Here is a 27,138-nt window from a genome sequence, read left to right on the forward strand (position 1 = left end):
TGACACGCCCTAAAAAATATATGGGGATAAAAAATGGGAGCCTCTGATTTAGTCTTGCGGTTGCACCACACCAAGCCGGACAAGAAACAAACACTTCTCCATCTTCAGTGAGACAGGAAGCTGGTATGAAAGACGCCGTTTTAGTATGGCTAAAAAGACACGGCAATGCCAGCCAAGTAAAATACTTAGCGGAACTCGGGTGTGGACAGGAGAATGTAGGCTTGCACACGGGAGGTGGTGGAGTGAGCCTTCCACCTTGGGGAGCAGAGCCACGTTCCCGGGTTACTGAGCTGAGCTGGGCGGTTACTCAGCCTACAAACACAGGTTTCCCAGCACTTGAACTTGAGACTCCTGAAACCGACAAGGTGGTTCAGAATTCCTTGGAGGAGCTGGGGAGATGGTATCATCTCTGTCACTTGTGGGACTAAAGACCATTTCATTTTGCCCAGCAATAGCCTAGAATCTGGCACCTGTAGGACTAAAGACCGGGAATAGCCTGGAAGAAGTGGGTGGGGAGCGCCAGGCAGGGCAGACCAGATCGCAAAGGAAAAAACCCTGGCGTGCAAGCACCGATAGGAGAGGAAATGTTTGCTCAGCTGTAAAGGAGGGAGAGAAAAGGGAGAAAGCACAGGCGGCGTGGCAGGTAAGTGTGATCACGCGTGAGACAGAACCACTGTGAAAAATTCTCCGATTCTCCCACGGCAAAAGCCTCAGCCAAGCCAACGGCAGATAAAGGAATCCGAGGCTGATCGCCAACGACCGGAGGTTAAAGACACAGGAAGAGTTCAGAAGTTCAGGAAAATAAAAGCAGATTACCATTCAAGGGTTCTGTGAAGCAGAGAAAAGGTGAAATGACAGGAGGACCTGAGAGTGGCCGGGGTGGGGGCGGGGAGGAAAGCGATCATTCCAGGTAAATTCCACCCGGAGGTGCGGCTGGAGAGGCAGGGAGCCAAGGCGCGCAGGTAGCGGGGTGCGCCCTCTTCACTCGGAGCACCCTGTCGAGCAGAGCAGCTCTAAGCAAGGCCAGGCTGGAGGGAAAAGTGCAGGACTGTGCTTCTGGGCGGCCTTCATTTTTATACCATGGGGAAAAAAAATGCCCAGCTGATTTTAATTTTCTTCTTCTTCTTCCTTCTTTTTTTTTTTTTTTTTTTTTTTTGTTTTTTGAGACGGGGTCTCTGTCTCCCAGGCTGGAGTGCAATGGCGCGATCTCGGCTCACTGCAACCTCCGCCTCCCGGGTTCAAGCGATTCTCCTGCCTCAGCCTCCCGAGTAGCTGGGATTACAGGCGCCCGCCACCACCCCCGGCTAATCTTTCATATTTTTAGTAGAGACGGGGTTTCACCAAGTTGGCCAGGCTGGTCTCAAACTCCTGAGCTCAGGCAATCCGCCCGCCTTGGCCTCCCAAAGTGCTGGGATTACAGGCGTGCGCCACCGCGCCCAGCGGAGTATGGTAGACATTTGCGTTTGTTAGCTCAGTAGCCTCAGAAACCCTGAGAGGTAGAGCTCAACACAGAAGCAGCTCAGAGCAGCTCGCAGCCTTTCCAAGTCTGGTGGCTGGGGGAAGACCCAGCTGGGATTCGGCTGACTTCTGAGCCTTTTACCTCTTTACGGCTCTGACACCCTAGAGCACCAACACAGCTGCCTCTGAGTGTATTTTGAGACATTATATTTGTAAACTGCATGTAACTTTCTGAATGAAGTTTTAGAAGCAGATGGCACACCCTCACCAGCTCATTTCTTGCCAGTATTCTCAATTGTCGGCACCAGAGAGTCAGTCAGATACTGCTTTGGAGACAGAAAATATTGCCGGGCAAGGTAAAATCTTTAGCCTTTGACTCTTCAGTAAACACAAACTAATGAGAAACCTAGGTCTTATTTTGCCAATAAGCAGAGACTGGAACACTCAATAATAGTGAGAGAAAGAACAGATCATGCAAATGAGGAGAACTGATGATGTTGCCAAGTGAAGCTAGGTGAAGAGGATTAACAGAAGCGATTCTTCCTCTTCCTGTCTCTCTCTTTTTTCGTGAACTATATGAGGATGCCAGGAGGGTTAAGACAAAGACCATGCTTTTTTTTTTTTTTTTTTTTTAGACAGAGTTTCACTCTTGTTCCAAGGCTGGAGTGCAATGGCGCGAGCTCGGCTCACTGCAACCTCCACCTCCCAGGTTCAAGCGATTCTCCTGTCTCAGCCTCCTGAGTAGCTGGGATCACAGGCATGTGCCACCACGCCCGGCTAATTGTTTTGTATTTTTAGTAGAGACGAGGTTTCTCTATGTTGGTCAGGCTGGTCTCAAACTCCTGACCTCGTGATCTGCCTGCCACAGCTTCCCAAAGTGCTGGGATTACAGGAGTGAGCCACGGTGTCTGGCCAAATTTTCTTTTAAGTAGCTTAAAGTCACAGGGGAAAACAAAACTATTCACATAGACTTTTTCTTTGTTTGAATTGGCAAATGCCACCAAGAGTCCAGAAGCTACAAGGAAGCGGTGACAATGGTAGCCTGTGTGGCTACCCTTTGTACCTTTTGAATTCTCTACAAAGTTTTTAAATTTGTTTAAAAAAGAGAATTCATGTTCCAGACTTAAGGTTGCTTTAAGGAACAGACAGGGAAGGACATAAACACATCATCCTTCTGTTGATCCAGACTGGAGATGCTTTGAAATGGACAACGTCTAAAAGAGGGAGCTATGCTTTCCAAGCTTGGGTCCAAAGATGGAGGCTGTGCTGCTGAAGCTGTAAAGAGAGAGGGACAGGAAGTGAATGGATTTGTTACAATCCTGTTTTTTTCTTTTCTTTTCTTTTCTTTCTTTTTCTTGAGACAGGGTCTCTCTCTGTCACCCAGGCTGGAGTGCAGTGGCACCATCATGACTCACTGCAACCTTGACCTCCCGGGCTCAAGTATTCCCCCCACCTCAGTCTCCCAAGTAGCTGGGACTACAGGCGCATGCCACTGTGCCCCGCTAATTTTTACATTTTTTGTAGACACGGGGTTCTCACCATGTTGCCCAGGCTGGTTTCAAACTCCTGAACTCAAGCGATCCTTCTACCTTGGCTGGACAAGTCATGCCTGTAATCCCAGCACTTTGGGAGGTGGGATTTGCTTGGCCTAATCTTGGCAATTCTTAAAAGAAAATCTTTATAAACAGAAATTACAGGAGCGGTGGTTCACGCCTGTAGTCCCAGCACTTTGGGATGCTGAGACGGGTGGATCACCTGAGGTCAGGAGTTTGAGACCAGCCTGGCCAACATGGTGAAATCTTGTCTCTACTAAAAATACAAAGAATTAGCTGGGTGTGATGGCGGGCACCTGTAATCCCAGCTACTGTGGAGGCTGAGGCAGGAGAATCGCTTGAACTTGGGAGGTGGAGGTTGCAGTGAGCCGAGATCGCACCATTGCGCTCCACACTCCAGCCTGGGCAAAAAGGGTGAAACTTCGTCTAAAAAAAAAAAGATTTCTCTAAATTGTAACATCTTTATCAGTGGAATAGGGGCAGGAACCCACATGACAGGGCTGTTTGAAGGTTGAGATCATGTGGGTAAGGCTTCTTGGACAGCAGTGGGTGAAGCAGTAGCTTCCAGCATCATCCTAAAGCTGTCTCCGCAGGCAGGACGGCCAGGGTTCTGCCCATCTCACAGGTGGGCAGGATCTGCTGGTGCTCCCAGTGGTTCTGGAAAAGAGATGTGAAAAGTGCAGGCAACCCACCAATCAGTGAATAATTCCTGATTGCTTTCTGGCTGAGGTTATTGTTCTCTGCAGCCTTCTGTGGGAAATGAGTAGGATCTAAGTAATGGGAATTGGGGAACCTAAAACCGAAGTAAGTGATGGTCAGTAGAATCAGGACAGTTGGACAGCAAAGGGAGGAAAAAGGGAAGATCTTTGAGAGAAAAGCAGACAAGTTAAAGGGCATGATAGAGGTGCTTACGGATTCAGGGAGGGGAGAGGAAAAGGAAATTTATATGTCCAAGACAGAGAGTAAAAGTACATTCTAGGACTAGGTGGGGAATGACAAAAGCAGAAGAAATACAAAACTATCAAATGCCTGTGATAGTGTTTAGAAGCAATCAGAACAAGATCTGTGTGAATAAGAGGTCAGAAATGAGAAAATTGGGCCGGGCGCGGTGACTCACGCCTGTAATCCCAGCACTTTGGGAGGCTGAGGTGGGCGGATCATTTGAGGTCAGGAGTTTCAGACCAGCTGGCCAATATGGCAAAACCCTATTTTCACCAAAAATACAAAAATTAGCCAGGCATGGTGTTGGTGTGCCTGTAATCCCAGCTACTTGGGAGGCTGAGAGGGGAGAATCGCTTGAAAGCAGGAGGTGGAGGTTGCCGTGAGCCGAGATCACGCCATTGCACTCCAGCCTGGGCAACAGAGCAGGACTCCATCTCAAAAAAAAAAAAAAAAAAAAGAAAATCATATGAGCATATTTTTTAAAATGCATACAATAATATAAATACAAAAAATACTTGTAAGACATTTAGGGAGAATCAAGGCACCGTCTTGGTCAGGAATCCATAAGTGCTCCCTTTGTCCTGGTATTCAAGGCCTTCCATGATTTTGACCCAAATGCACCTAACCAGTCTCGGCCCTCACTACAATAAATAAAGTCATTTAGTAAAGCTTTCTTTGCCAGGCGTGGTGGCTCACACCTGTAATCCCAGCACTTTGGGAGGTTGAGGCAGGAGGATCATTGGAGGCCAGGAGTTAGAGACCAGCCTGGGCATCATAGTGAGACCCTGTCTCTACAAAAAAAAAAAAAAAAAAAAGTTAAAAATCAGCTGGGTGCTGTGGCGCACACCTGTAGTCCAAGCTACTCAGGAGGCTGAGACAGGAGGACTGCTTGAGCCTAGGAATTTGAGGTTATAGTGAGTTATGATTATACCACTGCACTCCAACGTGGGTGACAGAGCAAGACCCTGCCTTTAAAAAACAAAGCAAAATAAAACAAAAACCTTTCTTGACCACCTGTCTTGGGCTAGGAACTAAAAGAATGAAGCCTTGACTCTGCTCTTTTTACCTAATGGGAATGCCCTCTACTCCAGGTAGACCATCTCTCTTCAGAAAGCCAAGTTTCTTTCCCTGACACCGTTGCTCATACCCGTAAGAGCTGAAAAAATAACTCTCAGGGATGCACCTGGGATAAAGGCATTTCAGAAATTGCTTCCCCAGCAAAGGACCTGACGTTAATCCTGTTGCCTTAGATTGTTTCCTGAGCTTCCCTTGCCCTGTCTACGTCCCACTTTCCCTCTCTGGCCCTTCAACGAATTCATTCAGCAGCGGCCCCCTCAAGGAGCTTGCAACCTAGAAGTGATAAAACAAGTACTAATAAGTGACTCTGATAGTGACCAGCATGTGGCAAAAGTGCTATTGCAGGAAGGGAGATGGTGGAAGAGGAGGGAAAGAATGCACTAGAATGACTATGGAGGAGGCACCGTTGGAGATGGAAGGGCATGAGTAGGACTATAGAGATTGGATGGTTGATTGAGTTGATTGAGAGCTGGTTGAGTGAGTATCTTGCATGGCTGCATTTGGTATGTTTGATGGGGGTAGTGGTGGTCGTGGTGTTTAAAATGATGGTAGTAGTATTTTGGTGATGAATCTGGAGAGCTTGATTTGAGCAATGCTGTGAAGAGCTTCTGTTGGCAGGCTGGGGAATTTGTACTTAATATAGTAGCCATTAGGGATTCATCAAACGTCTTTGAGAAGAAGAGTGACACAGAACCATGTAATCTTAGAGCTCAAAGGGGACTTAAAGGCCTCTAATTCCACCAAAAGTTTGACATCTCTGTCTACCAAGTGTGGGCCGGGAAACTAGTTTCTCACTGTCATGAGGGTTAAATGAGAGGGCACTTGTAAAGCGCTCAGCCCATGGTTTGACACCTAATAAAGCTCAAATAATGTAGTAAAGCTCAATTAATGTTGACTGACACTGTCATCATCATCATCACCATCATCATCACCATCATCACCATCATCATCATCAGCTTGGTTATTATTTAGGAAGGTGTTCCTTAAGCCTTATTCCTCAGTTGTCCTACAAGTATTTGAAGACAACTGTCCATTTCTGTGTGAGCTTTTTCCTCTTTAAATATTCCTGGCTTCTTCCAGCACTCCTTACACATGGGTGTCACATTCCCTTACCTTTCTGACTCTGTCTAGCCCTTGTAAAATGTGGTACACAAAATCCAGTAGTCTGTCTGATCATAGCTGACCACAGCAGTTTCTTCCTTTCTTTCATTCTAGAGATGATGCCTGAATTGAAAAAAAAAAAAAGCCAAAAAGTTTTTGGCAGCCTCATCACATTGAATCTTGGAATATAATGCTGATTTAAACTCCCAAGACATTCCCACATACACTAGTGCTAAGCTGCAACCTTTCCACTCTCTCCTTGTACGTGGTCCCAGCACAGAGCTTCAGATTGCTTTATGATGATTAAATCTCCTCTTTTTGTCAGGAAAAGGCCTTGAAATGGGCAGAAAGATTACTGAGTTTCCTTTCAGTGGATGGCTGGGTATTATCTAGCAGAGGCTTCAGGGTTGTCTGATTTCACAGGGGTCTGTGTCTTTCATCGTTTTTGACTGAACTATTTTGTAACTGTAAATTATAGAAAACACAAGGTTATGGAAATGATTCTTGTCCATAGAGATACAAACGAGTTTTGTCTGGTAGAAATGCAATTGATTTCTACCCCATAAAGAGGCTGTCAGTCTTGCACCTCTTAGTAAATTTATTTCAGCACTCCTGATTGCTTGTAGATATGTCTGTTCTTTGGATTCTCTTTCAGCCAGTTGTAATATTTTGCTGTCTGCATCATCAATTAATGAGTTAAGTTAATTTAAAAATCTTGGACACATGTTCATTATATATATATATATATACACGCGTATATTTATGCATATATATTCATTATATATTATATATGCATATATATGCACATATATACACGCATATATTCATTATATATGCATATATATGTGTGTATGTGTATGTGTGTGTGTGTGTGTGTGTGTGTGTGTGTGTGTAGTTTTTGAGACAGAGTCTCCCTCTGTTGCCCAGGCTGGAGTGCAGTAGCACAATCTTGGCTCACTGCTACCTCCACCTCCTGGGCTCAAGCGATTCCCATGTCACAGCTTCCTGAGTAGCTGGGACTACAGGCGTGTGCTACCATGCCCTGCTAATTTTTGTATTTTTAGTAGAAATGGGGTTTCACCATGTTGGCCAGCTGGTCCTGAACTCCTGGCTTCAAGTTATCCATCTGCTTCAGTCTCTCAAAGTGCTGGGATTACAGGAGCGAGCCGCCACACCTGGCTTATTTTATATTTGTATAAGAACCACGATTTTTTACTTCTACACATTTATAACAGTGCAGATACAGCATATTGCTTTCTGATTTTCCTATTCCATGACAAATTGGAGAGTTCTGCACAGGGCAGAAATGAAGACTGACCAAGCCATGGAGACCTCATTTTAGATTAGTTATGAGACTCTCAACCTGTATGTCTTGGTAAAGTTGTTCAACCAGATATTAATTCACTTAACGAAATCTATCTCCTTTTACTTACAAACAGGCTGTTTATAAGTCCATTTGTTCATAAGTTCCAAGTGATTAAGAGGGGGTTAAAGTTGAAACTTGCAATCCCCAGATACATTTCTGTCAATGATGACTGTAGGTCAGACTTCTATAACTTTAAAATCAGGCATATATTTCTCCTTTTTGCTCATTTATATTCTAATGGACACCCTCTGCCAAGATAGACCAGTCTATTATTGAAAATCCGGACCGATCTTCTTGTATAGTATCAAGGAGAAATGTGTGAACCCAGAAAGTGTCACCCTTCAAGACAGATTGTGAGTGGGTAACTGGATCTAAGTCCTGATGGAGCTGAGAGCCATTTGCCAACTGGAGGTTACACTTGTACCCTAAACAAGCTGAAGAGTAGTTAAACTTTGGAGCTTTCATAGCCGTCTGGCCCTGTCGATGCCAGCAGAATCAACTGCTGCTGGAAGGTCCCATTCTGCCATCTGGACCTGATCCATGAACTCGGATCTGTGGTCAGTTTTAACATCAACCAATCAGGATTGAGCGAGCTTACATGTCTCATTTGCATAGCAGACTGGAGGGGGATCCCGGGCTGGAACTTTCCCCAGCAAGACAGTCCCCTCTTGGTTCTAGTGGAGTGCACTTTTGTTTCGTACAGAAGGCGTCCTCTCCCCAGTTTGAAAACTGCTTGCTGGAATAATGTCTCTTTTTCTTTCTTTTTTTTTTAGAGACAGGATCTCTCTCTGTCGCCCAGGCTGGAGTGCAGTGGCACAATCCTAGCTCTCTGCTGCCTTCTACTCCTGGGCTCAAGGGATCCTCCCACCTCAGCCTCCTGAGGAGCTATAGGCACATAACACCACACTTGCCTAATTTTTGTATTTCAATTTTTTGTAGAGGTGGGGTCTGATATGGTTTGGTCTGTGTCCCCACCGAAATTTCATCTCGAACTGTAATTCCCACATGTCGAAGGAGGCACTGGGTAGGGGGTGATTGGATCACGGGGGCGGACTTCCCCCTTGCTGTTCTCGTGACAGTAAGTGAGTTCTCATGAGATCTGGTTGTTTAAAAGCGTGGCACTTCCCCCTTCGCTGGCTCCTGCTTTGCCATGTTAAGACGTGCTTGCTTCCCTTTCGCCTTCTGCTGTAATTGTAAGTTTCCTGACGCCTCCCGGTCATGCTTCCTGTTAAACTGTGGAACTGTAAGCCAATTAAAACTCTTTCCTTTATAAGTTATCCAGTCTCAGGTAGTTTTTTTTTTTTTTTTTTTTTTTTTTTTTTTGAGGCAGAGTCTCGCTCTCTCCCCTAGGCTGGAGTGCAGTGGCGTGATCTTGGCTCACTGCAAGCTCCACCTCCCGGGTTCACACCATTCTCCTGCCTCAGCCTCCCGAGTAGCTGGATACAGGCGTCCACCACCACGCCCGGCTAATTTTTTATATTTTTAGTAGAGACGGGGTTTCACTGTATTAGCCAGGGTGGTCTCGATCTCCTGACTTCGTGTTCCACCCGCCTCGGCCTCCCAAAGTGCTGGGATTACAGGCTTGAGCCACTGCGCCCGGTCAGTCTCACGTAGTTCCTTAAAGTAACGTGAGAACGGACTAATACAAAGTCCCACTATGTTTCCCCGGCTGGTCTCAAGCTCCTGGGCTCAGGTGATGCAGGTGATCCTCCGGTTTTGGCCTCCCGAAGTGCTGGGATTACAGGCATGAGTAACCATGCTTGTCACTCCTATGGGTCTTAGGGGTGAGAGATGAACAGATCAGTTTGGGGCTTTTTTGTCATGTATACGAACCCGAAGTCCGATCTATAAAAGCCACTTTAGGGAGTGTCAAGAAAACAGGAGTGAGCGTGTAAATAGAAGCCAATGCATAAGGTTTATGTTTGGGTCTGACTCGGAAGGAAAAACAATACACCTATGAAGATGAAAAAGGCCGTGTCTCTGAAAACCTTTGAGCTCTTCAGAGAAGTGCATCACATATGCAAGCTCTTCTATGACCCTCCTTACCTTTCATCCCCTATTGGCAGTTGTATGACCTTTCTTTTCCCAGCACCTGTCACAGCACCCTGTAATGATTGGAACTCATGGTTGTGCTTTGAGTGGGAAGGTGGGCAGAGGGTGAGGACATCCTGTGTAGGAACAGAGGACCAAATGTTGGGTTAGCATGGCAGGGGTGGCTGACAGATTATTCTCTGACTGGCAAAGTCAAAGAACCTGAAAAGACAGATGTTTTCCTGTATTCCAAAAGGCTTTCAAACAAATGTGTGAATATTTGACATAGTAACTTCACTTGTAGAAACCCGATTAGCCTAAAGAAATAGCCAGCAAGGCTGGGCGTGGTGGCCACATTTGTAATCCCCGCACTTTGGGAGGCTGAGGTGGGTGGATCGCTTGAGCCCACAGTTTGAGATCGCCTGGGCAACATGGTGAAACCCTGTGTCTACAGAGAATACAAAAATTAGCTGGGCGTGGTGATGCGTGCCTGGAGTCCCAGCTACTCAGGAGGCTGAGGTGGGAAGATCAATTGAGCCTGGGAAGTTGAGGCTGCAGTGAGCCTTGATAATGCCACTGTACTCCAGCCTGGTTGACAGAACAAGACCTTGTCTCAAAAAAAGAGAAATAACCAGAAAGGATATATGACAATAACGTCTGTCAGCATTATTTGTAAATGTTAACCCAATGTCCAGCAATTGGACAATGGTTAGGTAAATAAGATGAAACACCACGCAATATTATCATGCAGACATTCGACATGTAAGTGAATCATGGTTCATGTTGTTGGGAAATGAGCATGAGAGAAAAAAGCAAGATTCTGATTTCAGTATAAAGAAGGTTGTCAACAAAGTAAAATACCGATGGACAGAAAAGAAATCAAGGGAATACCCCAGATATTCTCATTTGTTATTTCTTGGTGAAATTATCAATGATGAAATTATCAGTGATGTTATTTCAACAAAGATCACACAAGCTGGATTCTTGTGCTGGTTATGTTATGTTGGCTACAGATGATAGTAACGCTTTGGGTTGTTTTTTGATCTTTACCTTCCTTTGGGGATAGACTATGCGACTGAAGTTTTAAAAAATTGGGGAGACGGGAGGGGCACGGTGCTCACACCTGTAATCCCAGCATTTTGGGAGCTGAGGCGGGCGGTTCATGAGGTCAGGAATTTGAGACCAGCCTGGCCAACATGGTGAAACCCCATCTCTACTAAAGATACAAAAAATTAGCTGGGCATGGTGGTACACGCCTGTAATCCCAGCTACTTGGGAGGCTGAGGCAGGAGAATCGCTTGAACCTGGGAGGCGGAGGTTGCAGTGAGCCGGGATCTCACCATTGCACTTAACCTGGGCGACAAGGCGAGACTCCATCTCAAAAACAAAACAAAACAAAAAACACTGGGGAGAAAAACCATAGCTAACAAGTGCTGAGATTTAAACTACCATAGATGTTGTTTTTGAAATGTTTTTGAAAGCAGTTGAGAGCAGAAATGAAGATGACGGAACAATGCAGTTTCTTTGCCTCCCTTGGTATCTATTTTCCAATAAGTTAAACAAATCGTTTTGACTGGAATTATGCTAGTGCTTTATTGGGTGGGGCCTCCTTAGTTATTTATATGCTGTTACAGGACGAACTATGTCTCTTTCAAAATTCGTATGTTGAAGCCTTAACCCTCAATATCTCAGAATGTAACACATTTGGAGATAAGGTCTTTAAACTGGTGATTAAGTTAAAATAAGCCCCTTCCCTTTTCCTTAGCAAACTAATGCAGGAACAGAAAATCAAATAGCCCATGTTCTCACTTATAAGTGGGAGCCAAATGATGAGAACACATGGACACAGAGGGGAACAACACATACTGGGGCCCACTTGAGGTTAGAGGGTGGAGGAGGGAGAGGAGCAGAAAAGATAACTATTGGGTACTAGGCTTAGTACCTAGGTGACAAAGTGATCTGTAAAACCAAGCCCTATGACATGAGTTTACCTATATAGCAAACCTGCACATGTACACTTGAACCCAAAATAAAAGTTTAAAACAACAACAACAAAAATGAGGCCCTTAGGGTGGGCCCTAACCAAAATGCCTGGTGTCCTTATACAAAGAGGCAATTAGAACACAGGCACACCCAGAGGAAAGGCCATGTAAGGACCCTGTGTGTTTCTGAGCTGCAGGTCTGGAGTAGCCACGACTTGGCATTGCTTTTGTCTGAGACGTTTAATTGATAACACAACAGAGCAGCCCCAAATAGCATAGCAAGCTTCTCCCTCGGCTGCCAAGGAGCTGCACATCTCATTCCTGGGTCCACCTGCCTTGGAACTGGGGCTCTGGCCTCTTGGCTGAGAGGGTCTGAGTCGGGGCTGAATTCTTCTGAAGGCAAAGGAGGGACAGGTGCTGTGGGCCCCTCTGGCCTCACACACACAACAGGAAGCATCCGATGGGTACTTCGAGGGGGTCATCCCTGGCCATAGAGCAATTTTGCAGAGATTATAAAATGGTCTAACTGTCCTTCCCACTCGAACTCCTCATCCCTTCTGCAGCCCCAGGCCCTGTGCAGGGAGATGCTGTCTGAATGTGGTAAGAGGCGTTGTAAATTCAGTCTTTCATTTAAATTCTCATAAAACATTCTTCCTTTTTCTTTTTTTTGAGACAGGGTTTCTCCCTGTCACCCAGGCTGGAGTGCAGTGGCACGATCTCAGCTCACTGCAACCTCTATCTGCTGAGTTCAAGTGATTCTCCTGCCTCAGCATCCCAAGTAGCTGGGATTACAGGCACGCACCACCACTCCTGACTAATTTTTATATGTTTGATAGAGACAGAGTTTCAACATGTTGGCCAGGCTAGTCTCAAACTCTTGACCTCAAGTGATCAAGTGCCTTGGCCTCCCAAAGTGCTGGGATTACAGGCGTGAGCCATCGTGGCTGGTCCGTTTTCGTTTTTTTTTTTTTTTTTTTTTTTTCTTGAGACAGGGTCTCACTCTGTCCAGGCTGGAAGGCAGTGATGCTGTTATAGCTCACTGTTGCCCCAAGCAATCCTCCTGCCTCAGCTTCCCAAGTAGCAGGGACTATAGGTGTGCACCACCACCATGCCTGGCTAATTATTATTTTTTTGAGACAATGTCTTGTTATGTTGCCCAGGCTGGTCTTGAACTCCTGGTCTCAAGTGGTCCTTCTGCCTTGGCCTCCCAAAGTGCTGGGATTACAGCGTGAGCCACCACACCCTGCCTAAAAATTTACTTTTTGATGTAAAACATAAATTCTTGTAGTAGTGAGATAATCTCTCATAGCTCATACAGTTTGTTAAATAAAAAGCTTGGGCACTGGAACCCAACTGTCTAAATCCAATTCCTAGCCTGGCTAGTTAGAAGCCGTGTGAGCTTAGGCCCTTTACTTAACTTCTCTGATCACTGCTTTCCTTGCCTATATAATGGGGGTGATACTGTACCTACCTTGGAAATAGGAGGATTCAATGAGTTTGAAACACAGGCAGCACTTAAAACATGCTGGGCATACAGGAAGCATTCAGTACATAATAATGAGTTCTTTTATTGTGGTAAAATATGCATAACAAGGCCATTGCGGTTGCTCATGACTGTAATCTTAGCACTTCGGGAGGCCAAGGTAGGCAGATCACCTGAGGTTGGGAGTTCAAGACTAGCCTGACCAACATGGAGATACTTCATCTCTACTTAAAATACAAAATTAGCCGGGTGTGGTGGTGCATGCCTGTAATCCCAGCTACTCGGGAGGCTGAGGCAGGAGAATCGCTTGAACCCAGGAGGCGGCGGTTGCAGTGAGCCGAGATTGTGCCATTGCACTCCAGCCTGGGCAACAAGAGCAAAACTCCGTCTCAGAAAAAAAAAAACCATATATACATAACATTTACCATTTTAACCATTTTTATTTTTATATTCATTAATTATTATTATTATTAATTTTTTTTGGAGACAGAGTCTAAAGCTGTTGCCCAGGCTGGAGTTTAGTGACGCAACCTCGACTCACTACAACTTCTGCCTCCTGGGTTCAATCACAATTCTCCTACCTCAGCCTCCCAAGTAGCTGGGACTACAGGTGCCCGCCACCACGCCTGGCTAATTTTTTTTGTATTTTAGTAGAGATGGGGTTTCACCATGTTGCCCAGGCTGGTCTTGAACTCCTGAGCTCAGGCAATCCACTGCCTCAGCCTCCCAAAGTGTTAGGATTACAGGCATGAGCCACTGTGCTTGGCCATTTTAACTGTTTTTAATAGTACAGTCTGTGGCATTAAGTATGTTTACATTGTTGTGCAACCATCATGACCATCTATCTCCAGAGCCTTTTCATCTTCCCAAACAGAAACTCTGTCTCTGTGAAACAACAACTCCCCATTTCCTCCTCCATTAGCCTCTGGCAACCATCATTCTACTTTCTGTTTCTGTGAATTTGACTACTGTAGGGATCTCATATAAATGGGATCATACAGTATTTGTTCTTCTGTGATTGGCTTACTTCCTTTAGCATAATGTCCTCAAGGTCCATCCATGTAGCATGGGTTAGAATGTCCTTCCTTTTTAAGGGCGAATAATATTCCATTGTATGGATAGACCACATTTTAAAAATCCATTGATAAACACTTTCGTTGCTTCTACCTTTTGGTATTATGAATAATGCTGCTATAAACATTTGTACATAAATGTCTCTTTGAGACCCTGTTTTCAATTCTTTTGGGTATATACCTAGAAGCGGAATTGCTGGATCCTATGGTCATTCCACGTTTAATCTTTTGAGGAACCGCCATGATGTTTCCCGCAGCGGCTGCACTATCATTCTCATGGTTTCAGACACCATCTATAAGGCTGATGAATTCCAGCTTTATAGCTACAGCTTTACGCTGCCCCTGAGTTGTATGCAATTTCCTACTTGATCTTGTCAGTTAGATGTCTCACGGATCTTCTTCGAACTGCTCCTCCTCCTTGCCCCTCTCTCACTTTCCCTCATTTTGGTAAATGGCACTAACTGAGCAGAGTTGCCCCAGCTGAAAACCTTCTGCAGAGCCCAGTGCAGAAGGAAGATGTGGAGCCTCAGCCAGGACCAGGGAAGTCAATCCCCCCTTCCCACAAGCCTGTGGCCCCAACCTACAGTGGACAGGCCACCCCAAAGGGATCCAGGGTGGTCAAGAGCCCTGGATCACCAGGGAAAAGATTTCTTGACTCCACTTGGGGAGGAATTTATCTTGATTGAATGTGTACCGTGTGCCAGACATCATCTAGGTGATGGGGATACAACAGAGAACAGAACAGATGAAATCCTGTTGTCATGGAACTTTTATTCTGTGAGGCTGCACTTACTCTATGTCTATTACTAAGCACTTGTCAAGAGCCAGGCCCTGACCTTGCACTAAGATACAGCAGTGAGCAAAATGCACAAACATATAATTACATATGGTGATAAATTAATTCATTCAGCCAGTAGTCCAGATTGCTATATGAACACATAGCAGGTGATTAGATCTGGCTTGGGAACTGGGGAATTCCTAAAAAATGTAAATTAAAATAAAATTTATTTATTTATTTTCTGAGCCAGAGTCTCTGTTGCCCAGGCTGGAGTGCAGTAGTGCAATCTCAGCTCACTGCAACCTCCACTTCCCAGGTTCAATCGATTCTCGTGCCTCAGCCTCCCGAGTAGCTGGGACTACAAGTGTGTACCATCATGCCTGGGTAATTTTTTGTATTTTTAGTAGAGATGGGGTTTCACCATGTTAGCCAGGCCAGTCTTGAACTTCTGGACTCAACTGATCCACCTGCCTCAGTCTCCTAAAGTGCTAGAACTGCAGGCATAAGCCACCGCGCCCGGCCAAATGAACTTTATTTATTTATTTTATTTATTTATTTTTTTGAGACAGAGTCTCGCTCTGTAGCCCAGGCTGGAGTGCAGTGGCGCGATCTCGGCTTACTGCAAGCTCCTTCTCCTGGGTTCACGCCATTCTCCTGCCTCAGCCTCCAGAGTAGCTGGGACTACAGGCGCCCGCCACCACGCTCGGCTAAGTTTCGGCTAAGTTTTTTGTATTTTTGGTACAGACGGAGTTTCACCGTGTTAGCCAGGATGGTCTTGATCTCCTGACCTTGTGATCCGCCCGTCTTGGCCTCCCAAAGTGCTGGGATTACAGGCGTGAGCCACCGCGCCCAGCCCATGAACTTTAGTTTTAGGAATCATTATAGATTTGATTTACAGAGAAATCATGAAGTTTATATAAAGAATAGTTCCCATATATCTTGCACTGTTTCCTCTGTTTCTAACATCTTACATCAGTATGGTACATTTGTTACAATATTGAACCAGTGTTGATACCTTATTATTAACTAAAGTCCACAAGATACTCAGATTTTTCTTTTGCTTTTTTTTTTTTCTGGAGATGAAGAATCTCCCTGTCACCCAGGCTGGAGTGCAGTGGCATGATCTTGGCTCACTGCAAACTCCACCTTCTGGGTTCAAGTGATTTTTCTGCCTCAGTCTCCTGAGTAGCTGGGATTACAGGCACCTGCCACCACGCCTGGATAATTTTTGTCTTTTTAGTGGCAACAGGGTTTCACCATGTTGTCCAGTCTGGTCTTGAACTCCTGGCCTCAAGTGATCCACCTGCCTCAGCCTTCCAAAGTGCTGGGATTGTAGGCATGAGCCATCATGCCCAGCCAGGTATTAGATTTCTGTAGTTTCTATCTGATGTCATTTTTCTGTCTTAGGATCCCATCCGTGTAACCATATTACATTTAGTCATCACGTCTCTTTACGCTACCCTTAGCTGTGACAATTTCTCAGCCTTTCCTTGCTTTTGATGACCTTGACAGTTTTGAAGAGTATTCATGCAGTAGATTTTGTAGGATGCCGTCTATTAGAATTTGTCTAATGTTCTTCTCATGGTTAAATTGGGGTTATGGGTTTTGGGAGGAAGCTTACAGAGGTAATGTCCATAGTGGTGGCTCAAGCCTGTAATCCTTGCCCTTTGGAAGGCCGAGGTAGCAGGACTGCTTGAGGCCAGGAGTTCAAGACCAGCCTGGGTAATATAGCGAGACCCCATCTCTAAAAAAAAAAAAAAAAATTACCTCAGCATGTTGACACATGCCTGTGGTCCCATCTACTTGGGAGGCGGAGGCAGGAGGATCGTTTGAGCCCTGAATGTTGAGGCTGCGGTGAGCAGAGATTGCGCCACTGCGCCCTCTAGCCTGGATGACAGAGGGAGACCCTGTCTCAAAAAAAATTTTTTTTTTTTTTTTTAAAGAAGAACGAGGGTTATGTTCATGCACCACCTCCTGGACAGTGTGTTTTGTTTTTAACAGTGTTATTGAGGTATAATTTACATGCCACAAAATTCACCTGTTTTAGGTGAACAGTTAGATGAGTTTTCGTAAATGTATACAGTTGTGCCTGAGGGAACTGCTCTGTGAGCTGACAACCAAAGGATAGGAGTAATTTAATGAGACAAAGGAAGTAAAAAACTGCTCCAGGCAGAGATGATGGCGTGAGCCTCTGCAGGGAGCATAGCACATTTAAGGAACTCAGGTGAATCCTGAATTGCCATGAAAGGGCAAAATATGTCACCCCAGTTCATTCACTGTGCTTCCTATTTCATATTTAATATTTCTTTCCAAACATGTGAGAGTCAACAGCATATTAATGCCTAAATGCATAAACTCTAGTTATGCAAAACACTTGTCTAGAACAACTCAGTCCCTGATGGTTTACTCAAGGTTTTACCATAACAAGAAGTAAATATTAGGATTGTAAAATTCAGAATGGTCCCTGAGGGGGAATAAAATTGTAATAAAAAAATTTCCTCCTTTTTCAGGTCTTGTTTCAGTGAGAATGTAAAGTACGTGAGCTATGTGCTTTGTGATGAAGTCGTTGATTTATTTCACTTTGGAACAAGCACACCACAACAAAGTGAGAATGAGAAGGTAATTCAGAGGGAGAAGAAGGAAACGGAACTGTACGTAGAAATATATCCTCATATGAACTTAGATTCTGAAATAAATCTAGGTTGTAAAAACACCAAAAGGCTGTTTCCATGAGTGAGTCAACCAAGAGGCCCTCTCAGGACTTCTGTGGGACGTTGGAATCCCCTGGCATATATGAAATCCAAATTAGTCAGGATAGGTAAGATTGTGCTGCGGTAACAAAGAAAACCTTTATTTTCAATGGCTTCATGCTGAAGCAGCCTCGCTGTCGGGGGTGAATACTGGAGGTTCGCCATCTCATGCTAGGGGATGAGGATGTGGGCACACAAGAAGTGAGTTTAAAAGTGGAGGCTTAATAGTGAGAGAGATTTAATAGAGAGAAAGAGAAAAGCTCTCTCTCCTGCAGAGAGAGAGGGGCTCCCGACTGGGTCTTCCGGTCCCATGGGGAAGCGCACAGGGTTTTATAGACTGGCTTGAAGAGGCGGTGTCTGATTTACATAGGGCCCAAAGATTGGTTGGACCAGGTGTGACATTTACATAGCACAGGAAGAAAGTGGCCACTCCACCCTAATCTTTTATTATGCAAATGGGTTTTCTCCCTGGCCGGCACCATGTTGTCTGCTCCTTACTGTACACATGGTTGATAAAGAAAAGGGAAAAGGGAGCCTCCATGTTGAACATTCCTGGCCCCAGGTAGCCTTTTCCTATTGGCACAGCTGCCGGAATTCACCCGTGCAAGCTTCCAGCTTGCTTATCTATGTCTGCAGCTCGAATTTACAGGCTGCTTTTTGTTAGAAAAGAAATGGTTTGGGGGCTGTTTTTCATTAAAAGGGAAACCTTACCAAGGACTTCCTTATCCTCACTATCTGCCTAAATAATTTCTTCTTAACTCTTATATCAATACAACAGGTTATTGTTTGATGTAGGTCAAGTGGCTTTCCTTGGTGGCTTTCCTCCAGTAATTGGTTCAGGAATCTAGGCTCCATCCATCTTGTGATGGTGTCATCTCCATCATGTGCCCTCAAGAATTTGCCACAGACCAAGTGTGGTGGCTCATGATGCTTGTACTCCCAGCACTTTGAGAAGCCAAAGTGGGAGGATTGCTTGAGTCCAGCAGTTTGAGACCAGCCTGGGCAACCTAGTGAGACCCCATCTCTACAAATAAAATTAGCCAGGCATGGTGGTGCACACTTGTGGTCCCAGCTACTTAGAAGTCTGACGTGGGAGGATCGCTGGAGCCCAGGAAATCAAGGCTACATTGAGCCGTGATCACAACACTGCACTCCAGCCTGGGTGACAGAATGAGACCCTCTCTCAAAAAACAATTTGCCACAGAACAGGAAGAGAGAGGGTGGATGATGACATGGGAGATTTTACGGGCAGGCTTGGAAGTGGCATACATCCCTTCTGCCCCTGTCCTTTAGTCAGAATCCAGTTATAGTGGCCCAATCTCAGGGCGAAAAAGGCTGGGAAGCCAGCTGGGCGTGGTGGCTCACGCATGTAATCCCAGCACTTTGGGAGGCTGAGGCGGGCGGATCATGAGGTCAGGGGATCGAGACCATCCTGGCTAACACGGTGAAACACCATCTCTACTAAAAATACAAAAAAAAAATTAGCCAGGCATGGTGGCGGATGCCTGTAGTCCCAGCTACTGAGGAGGCTGAAGCAGGAGAATGGCGTGAACCCAGGAGGCGGAGCTTGCAGTGAGCTGAGATTGTGCCACTGCACTCCTGCCTGGGTGACAGAGCAAGACTCTGTCTCAAAAAAAAAAAAAAAAACGAGAAAAAAAAAGGCTGGGAATTATAGTCCTGTGTACACAGGAAGAAAACAATAAAATGGGATTTGGTGAACGTACAATATTATCTTTGCCACAAGCTCCTAATTTTGTTATTAGATGCTTTCCAAGTTATAAAAGAATCCAGCTTGTTGTAGCAGATGTAACATAGGTGTATAAAGATGAAACTAATGACCTCCCTACTCTCCGTCTCCTGGCGTCTATGCCCTGTGTTGCCTGCCACACCACCCTCCTTGTTGGTGTAATTGTATTCCACATGCATGAATGGTTCAGGAGACATTAACTCTGGAAGGCCCTTCTGAACTGGAAGTTCTCCTGATAAACATTCTAGTTGCTGAAAAATGCCCAAATGAAATGTTTGTTCAAGAAGTCCGGCAGGTTGACAGGGGAGCGATAGCGTTTTGCTGGAATTTAAGATCCACTGCTTTCGTTTATGTTTTCCTCGGTTGACTGCAGTGCTTGGCAGGAGCTGTGGCAATGGAAAGACCTGGGTTCAGGACCTGGCTCTGCCTCCTACCCTCTTTGTGACTTTGGACAAGTAGTAAACTCTTCTGAAGTTTACTATTTACCTCAGCTTTGAAGCAGAGATCTGGTGTCTATCCCATGTGGTATTTGCAATGCTACAAGATAAAGTCTAGTTTTAAATCTGCCGGATTGTTGGGTACCTCTGACGTCTCAGCATCCACAACTAAAGACCAAGCCAGCTCTTATTTCAAATGTGTACAGTGGGTCGGGCGCAGTGGCTCACGCCTGTAATCCTAGCACTTTGAGAGGCCGAGGCGGGTGGATCACTTGAGTCCAAGAGTTTGAAACCAGCATGGGCAACGTGGTGAAACCCTGTCTCTACGAAAAATACAAAAATTAGCCATGTGTGGTGGTATACACCTGTAATCCCAGCTACTCAGGAGGCTGAGGCAGGAGAATCGCTTGAACCCGGGAGGCGGAGGTTGCAGTGAGCCGAGATCACGCCACTGCACTCCAGCCTGGGTGACAGAGTGAGACCCTATCTAAAAAAAAAAAAAAAAAATCAAGTGTGTCAGTGTGACCGAGAAGCTGGGTTAATCCTCAGCAGAGAGAAGTTCCATATGATGGGGAGGAAAGGAAGAGCAAATATACACTCAAAAATGTCTGGGTTTGACGGTTTAGAGTAATCATTTAGGAAGGAAAGAAGATATATAAGGAAATCTAGACTGGGGAATTTGGAAGTTATTCGAAGCATGTTGAGAAGGATCAGGCCATTTTGCTACTAACTTTCCTGTTCATTAGTTATGCATAGTTCCCTTCAACAGGGGCAGAGCCCCCCTGTGACAGATCTTGTTTTTTTTTTGTTTTTTTTTTTTTTTTAAATGAAGTCTCACTCTGTTGCCCAGGCTGGAGTGCAATGGCACGATCTTGGCTCACTGCAACCTCCGCCTCCTGGGTTCAAGTGATTTTCCTGTCTCAGCCTCCTGAGGAGCTGGGATTACAGGCGTGTGCCACCACGCTCGGCTAATTTTTTTGTATTTTTGTAGAGATGGGGTTTTGCCATGTTGGTCAGGCTGGTCTTGAACTCCTGACCTCAAGGGATATGCTGGCTTCAGCCTCCCAAAGTGCTGGGATTACAGGCATAAGCCACCGCACTTGGCCTGCAGATCCTGTTTCTAATGACTCAGTGGAAGAAAATGTTCAGTGATGCTCCCAGGTGGCAGTGTCCCAGAGAAGGGCTTGGGTTGTCCAGTGCTTTAGCTGCTTTGCAGTTTAATGTAACAGGGATCTAAGAGCAGAGGAGCGCAATGAAAGGCAAGCGTCGACTCTCACCTGTCAATGTTGAGTGGGTGGTGGGAAGAAATGATGATAACCAACAAATTAAAACCAGAAAGTGCCGGGTGCAGTGGCTCATGCCTGTAATGCCAGCACTTTGGGAGGCCAAGACAGGAGGATCACCTGAGGTCAGGAGTTTGAGACCAGCCTGGTCAACATGGCAAAACCCCGTCTCTACTAAAAATTCAAAAATATGGGTGGGCATGGTGGCTAGTGCATGTAGTCCCAGTTACTTGGGAGGCTGAGACACGAGAATCCCTTGAACCCGAGAGGCAGAGGTTGCAGTGAACCGACATCATGCCACTGCATGCCAGCCTAGGTGACAGAGTGAGATTCCGTCTCAAAAAAAAAAAAAAAAATTAGCAAGGTCACATTGAAGAACTCAGCAAAAAGGAGAAAGGACAGGCACCTGAATAATAAAACCCTGGGTATTTACACAAATCTACAAAGGAAAAGAAATGGAAAAAGGGTTTATCAGTAAGTGTTTGGTAGAAAAAAGCAGAAATCACCTTAGATATTTCAAACAGAGACAGCTTGAATGCAGGAAATTAAGTTATAAAGCTGGTGGAAGGACTGGGAGAGCAAAAATGGGAGACGTGTGTTACCCAGAGATTAGAAACTACAGGAAGCTGGGAACATACTCCATGTAGTTAAATTCTGGGCATTAAAACTGCTTATCATCTTAAGTTTTATGAACAGCTGTGAGTAGAGTGTGGTGACTCATGCCAATAATCCCCCAACTTTGGGAGGACTGCTTGAGGCCAGGAGGTCAAAGCTGCAGGAAGACCAGCCTGGGCAACATAGCTAGGCCCCATTTCTAAAGAAAAAAAAAAATTTAGCCGGGCATGGCGGTGCATGCCTGTAGTCCCAGCTACTTGGGAAGCTGAGTAGGTGGGTTGCTTGAGCACAGGAGCTCAAGGCTGCATTAAGCTATTGATATAGGAGTTAAAAAGAAATTATGTAGGTAGCTAGTGAGGGTAAGGAAATCCTTGGTAAGGTTTTAAAAGATTTCCTTTTACTGAAAAGCAGCCCCCAAATTATTTCTTTTCTAGCAAAGATCAGCCTGTAATATCGAGCTGCAGACATAGATAAGCAAGCTGGAAGCTTGCACGGGTGAATGCCAGCAGCTGTGCCAATAGGGAAAGGCTACCTGGGGCTAGGCATGTTCAACATGGAGGCTCCACCTTCCCTTTCCTTGCCAACCACGTGTACAGTAAGGAGCAGACAACATGGCACCGGCCAAGTAGAAAATCCATTTGCATATTAAAAAGATTAGGGTGGGGTAGCCAGCTTCTTTGTGCACTATGTAAACGCCACACCTGATCCAACCAATCTTTGGCCTTCACAGGAGAGAGAGCTATTATCCTCTCTCTTTCTTTTGCCTATTAAACCTCTGCTCCTAAACCCACTTCTTGTGTGTCCACGTTCTCAATTCCCTTAGTGTGAAACAACCAAACTTGGGTATTTACCCCAGACAACGACACCGCTTCACTACAATCACACCACTGCATTCCAGCCTGGGTGACAGAGTGAGATCCTGTCTCTAAAAAAAAAAGGAACAAGAACAGTTCTGTAGCTTTTCTGTTCTTTGTGTGGCAATAGTCACATCTGACAGCAGGATTGGCAAGAGGTTTTTTTTTTTTTGAGACAGAGTCTTACTTTTTGCCCAAGCCAGAGTGCAGTGGCATGATCTCGGCTCACTGCAAGCTCTGCCTCCCGGGTTCACGCCATTCTCCTGCCTCAGCCTCCCGAGTAGCTGGGATTAAAGGTGCCCGCCACCGCGCCTGGCTAATTTTTTGTATTTTTAGTAGAGACGGGGTTTCACCGTGTTAACCAGGATGGTCTCGATCTCCCGACCTCGTGATCCGCCCGCCTCGGCCTCCCAAAGTGCTGGGATTACAGGCGTGAGCCACCGCGCCTGGCTGGCAAGAGGTTTTATGGACTCTTTGGGTATGGTGAGTTTTTGAAAGGAGGCAATTAAATTTGGAAGGAGCATAATCGTGGCTTTGTGGAAGGCATGGTGAGGGGCACACTGTGGGTTCTCTCTCAGGGACAGCTTGTTCCTCAGGCTCCTCCATCTTCTTGCTGTCCTGGGCTGCCATTTCTCTCCGCCTGCTTAGCTCTGCCTTCTCATCACTGTCCGCCAAGCCTTTACTGGGTGAGGTGCCCTCACATACCCAATTATTTCTGTCCACATGTCCATTGTTACATACACACTTGGTGTTAACAGGGAGCCCAGATGTGTCGTCACTGATTTCACCATTGACAGTAACTCGGGCAGGGTCCATAGTTCTTGTGACAAGTCATCAAATGCCAAATTTTTCCATTCTTAAGTCCCTGATCAGTACTCTGGAGTAGGTGGATTGGGCATTTCCAGAGTGATGCATGACATTTATCTCTTTTTTGACATTTATCCTTCACCTAAGTTGGAAGATTCAGTGTCAAAAAAGAAATGCTTTCACTTAACCCTATCCCTAAGAGCTTTCCAATCTCCCTAGAGCAGGGTCAGTTTCCCCTTCCTGAGAAGCTTGTTCCAGACTTAGCAAGGCATCTCATGTATTCCCCAATCTACCCCCATGGGCACTGGGCTGTTCTAAACCAATTTCACTGGTAGGGTTCTTCCCTGCCCCACCCTCTCCATCCTCACCTAGGCCTCCTCCTTCACACTCTGTTACTGCTAAAAGTTCTTTCAGCAGAGAGGTGCTTACCACAGGAGTCTCCCTGACACTCTCCCATCCCCAGCCTGCCCCAAGGAAGGTGAAATCTAGGCAGCTTCTTACAGAATGTTCTCAGCAAGCCAACTGCAACTCAGAGTGATGGCTGGGAAAGCGAAGACGCAAGATTTCCTGCCAGGTGAATCAAAGGGACCTGATTTCTCCCAGGCACTGTAATTTACGGTTTACAAACCATCTTACATGTTAATTTTTTTTTTTTTTTTCCTGAGACAGAGTGAGACTCTGTCACCCAGGCTAGAGTGCAGTGATGCAATTAGCCCACTGCAGCCTGGAACTCCTGGACTCAAGAGATCCTCCAACCTCAGCCTCTCAAGTAGCTGGGGCTACAGATGTGTACCACCACATCTGGCTAATTTTTTTATTTTTGTAGAGATGGGGATGCGGGGTCTTGCTATGTTTCCCAGGCTGGTCCCAAACTCCTAGGCTCAAGTGAACCTCCTGCCTCAGCCTCCCAAAGTGCTGGGATTACAGATGTGAGCCACCTTGCTGGCCCCCATCTTGCGTATTAACACACATCATTAATTTGATTCTCATGTAAGTCTGGGGAGGTGGTTGTTTTACACAGATGGCAAAATAGAAGCTCAGGGATTAGGGGACTTATAGCTGGTCACACAGTAAATAGCTGGGCCAGAAATCAACTCCAGATCTTCAGACCTTTCTCCTAGTACCAGACAAGGGACTAACCTAATAAGACATAGTGAGTGCAGACATTTGCAGCAACTGCCCTTGCAATTCCAAAAAGATGAACTTACCCTCGAGAGCCTAGTGAGAAGGGAAAGGAGGAAGATGCCGGTGGAAGGAAGAGAGGTCTAAATGGAGCTCATTCTCTTGGCTTAGCGTCACTGCCCTGAGAACGTCAGGGAGAATTGTAATGTAGGTGAATTTGGACTACCTTTGATCTCTTCCTTCATCTAAGCATTTAGCATTACTGCAGTAAAAAGAAACCTGTATATTTTAATGTGCAGCATATTCTTAATCTCTCAGTAGAGATTGGGCGACAAAGCCATCTCATGGAGCAAAAGCATGGACTTTGGAGGAGGATAACAACAACCTGCCTATTTATGGAGCTCTGACTAGGTAACAGGGACAGTTCTGAGCACTCATTGAATTCTCATAGTAATCCTATGAGATAGGTACTGTCATTTGTTGTACAGATGGGGAAATGAAGGCACAGAGAAGTCAACTAACTTGTCCGAGGTCATACAGCTAGTAAGTAGGGGAGGTGGATTTGAACTAAGCAGTTGGGCTCCAGAGCCCAAGTTGTCAATGACTCCTCATAGTCAGGGATGTTGCTCAAACTCTGAGCTCCAGGAGCCTCATCTGTAAAATGGGGATAAATATATATCTTGTTGCCAGGCACAGTGGCTGGCTTATGCTTGTAATCCCAGCACTTTGGGAGGCTGAGGCAGGTGGATCACCTGAGGTCGGGAGTTCGAGACTAGCCTGACCAACATGGAGAAACTGTCTCTACTAAAAATACAAAACAAATTTCCGGGCATGGTGGTACACGCCTGTGATTCCAGCTAATCGGGACGCTGAGGCAGGAGAATCGCTTGAACCCGGGAGGCAAAAGTTGTGGTGAGCCAAGATCACACCATTGCACTCCAGCCTGGGCAACAAGAGCGAAACTCTGTCTCAAACAAAAACAAAAATTAGCCGGGTGTATTGGTGCGTGCCTGTAATCCCAGTTACTCAGGAGGTTGAGACAGGAGAATCTCTTGAACCCAGGAGGCAGAGGTTGCAGTGAGCTGAGATCACGCCACTGCACTCCAGCTTGGGTGACAGAGCAAGACTCCGCCATCTGAAAAAAAGAGAAAGTATATATATATATATATATATATACACATTTGAGTTGTTAAATGAAAGACTCTATGTATATTGCCTGGCACTTGGTAGGTACTCAGATATTGGCTGTTATTATTACAAATCAGCTCACTGTGCCTACATTTGTACATGTGAAGGCTGCCCAGTGGTTCCTTGGAATTCAAGCCCGGGTATAGGAGGATAAACGTCTCGTCTGGATCCTGACAGCATGTGGATAAGGAAGAATCTTAGCCCCACAAACTAGCCTGTGATGTTGGGGAAGTCACTTAACCTTCCTGAACATGCTCTCTGTTTTGCAAGGGAGAGATAATATTTCTCTTACAGGGTTGTTGTAAGAATGAAATGAGATCATGCGACCCAGCCTCAGATTAAGAACGTGTTAAGTAAATGTTAGCTCTTATTGTTAAAGGCACATTTTTGGCAAAGGAAGCTCTCAGGAATGGATAGGGGCTGGGTAAAATGAGGCTGAGACCTATTGGGTTGCATTCCCAGATGGTTAAGGCATTCTAAGTCACAGGATGAGATAGGAGGTCAGCACAAGATACAGGTCGTAAAGACCTTGCTAATAAAACAGGTTGCAGTAGAGAAGCCGGCCAAAACCCACCAAAACCAAGATGGCGACAAGAGTGTTCTCTGGTGGTCCACACTGCTACACTCCCACCAGCGCTGTGACAGTTTACAGATGCCATGGCAACGTCAGGAAGTTACCCTATATGGTCTAAAAAGGGGAGGCGTGAATAATCCACCCGTTGTTTAGCATATCATCCAGAAAGAACCATAAAAATGGGCAACCAGCAGCCCCCGGGGGCTGCTCTGTCTATGGAGTAGCCATTCTTCATTCCTTTACTTTATTTATTTATTTATTTATTTTTTTTAGATGGAGTCTCACTCTGTCGCCCGAGCTGGAGTGCAGTGGCACGATCTCTGCTCACTGCAACCGCCGCCTCCAGGTTCAAGCAATTCTTTTGCCTCAGCCTCCCGAGTAGCTGGGACTAAAGGCAAGCGCCACCACGCCTGGCTAATATTTGCATTTTTAGTAGAGATGGCGTTTTACCATATTGACCAGGCAGCTCTCGAAGTCCAGACCTTGTGGTCAGGCTCGTCTCGAATTTCTGACCTCATGATCCGCCTGCCTCGGCCTCCCAAAGTGCTGGGATTACAGGCGTGAGCCACTGTGCCTGATTCTTTACTTTCTTAATAAACTTTCACTTTACTCTATGGACTCACCCTGAGTTCTTTCTTAGGTGAGATCCAAGAACCCCTCTTGGGGTCTGGATCAGGGTCCTTTTCCTGTAACAGATGGGTGGCAACGTGAAAGCAGAGTGTGGTGGTGAAGGACCCCCGTTAGGGGGCACTATTTCAGCACATTTTCCAAAGGTTAATATCTAACGGTTAAAAAAAAAATTTGAAAAAGCTGATCTGTTCACTACCGTATTAAAAGAAGAGTGGTTTCACTCAAAACCCCCAAAAGGCGGTAACTGGAACATTGTGCTGTTTTATGCTCCCGTCTCTCAAGCCAGG

The 27,138-nt window shown here is 45.6% G+C and overlaps 1 long non-coding RNA gene across 2 annotated transcripts, besides 2 other annotated features; it reads left to right on the forward strand.

Annotated features, from left to right (window-relative positions):
• The first annotated feature begins 296 nt into the window (after positions 1 to 296).
• On the forward strand, positions 297 to 26,835 carry LOC105376419 (uncharacterized). 2 transcript variants are annotated; one of them, XR_930671.3, is made up of 3 exons: positions 297 to 643; positions 17,355 to 17,463; positions 26,495 to 26,835. It is a non-coding gene; the product is annotated as an uncharacterized LOC105376419 (long non-coding RNA). The 2 variants fall into 2 exon arrangements; XR_007062057.1 differs by lacking the exon at positions 26,495 to 26,835 and having other exon boundaries at positions 17,355 to 17,563.
• Positions 12,392 to 13,355: an enhancer, noted in NCBI's record as "OCT4-NANOG-H3K27ac hESC enhancer chr10:13437106-13438069 (GRCh37/hg19 assembly coordinates)". NCBI's record gives its function as "activates a minimal SCP1, AML or CMV promoter by ChIP-STARR-seq in naive and primed H9 embryonic stem cells {active_cell/tissue: H9 hESC(naive and primed)}" and the evidence as "EXISTENCE:reporter gene assay evidence [ECO:0000049][PMID:30033119]".
• Positions 17,955 to 18,249: an enhancer, noted in NCBI's record as "tiled region #1825; HepG2 Activating non-DNase unmatched - State 22:ReprW". NCBI's record gives its function as "activates a minimal TATA promoter and a strong SV40 promoter by Sharpr-MPRA in HepG2 cells {active_cell/tissue: HepG2}" and the evidence as "EXISTENCE:reporter gene assay evidence [ECO:0000049][PMID:27701403]".
• Positions 26,836 to 27,138: the final 303 nt, after the last annotated feature.

This window comes from Homo sapiens, chromosome 10 (assembly GCF_000001405.40).
Source record: "Homo sapiens chromosome 10, GRCh38.p14 Primary Assembly".
Taxonomy (NCBI): domain Eukaryota; kingdom Metazoa; phylum Chordata; class Mammalia; order Primates; family Hominidae; genus Homo; species Homo sapiens.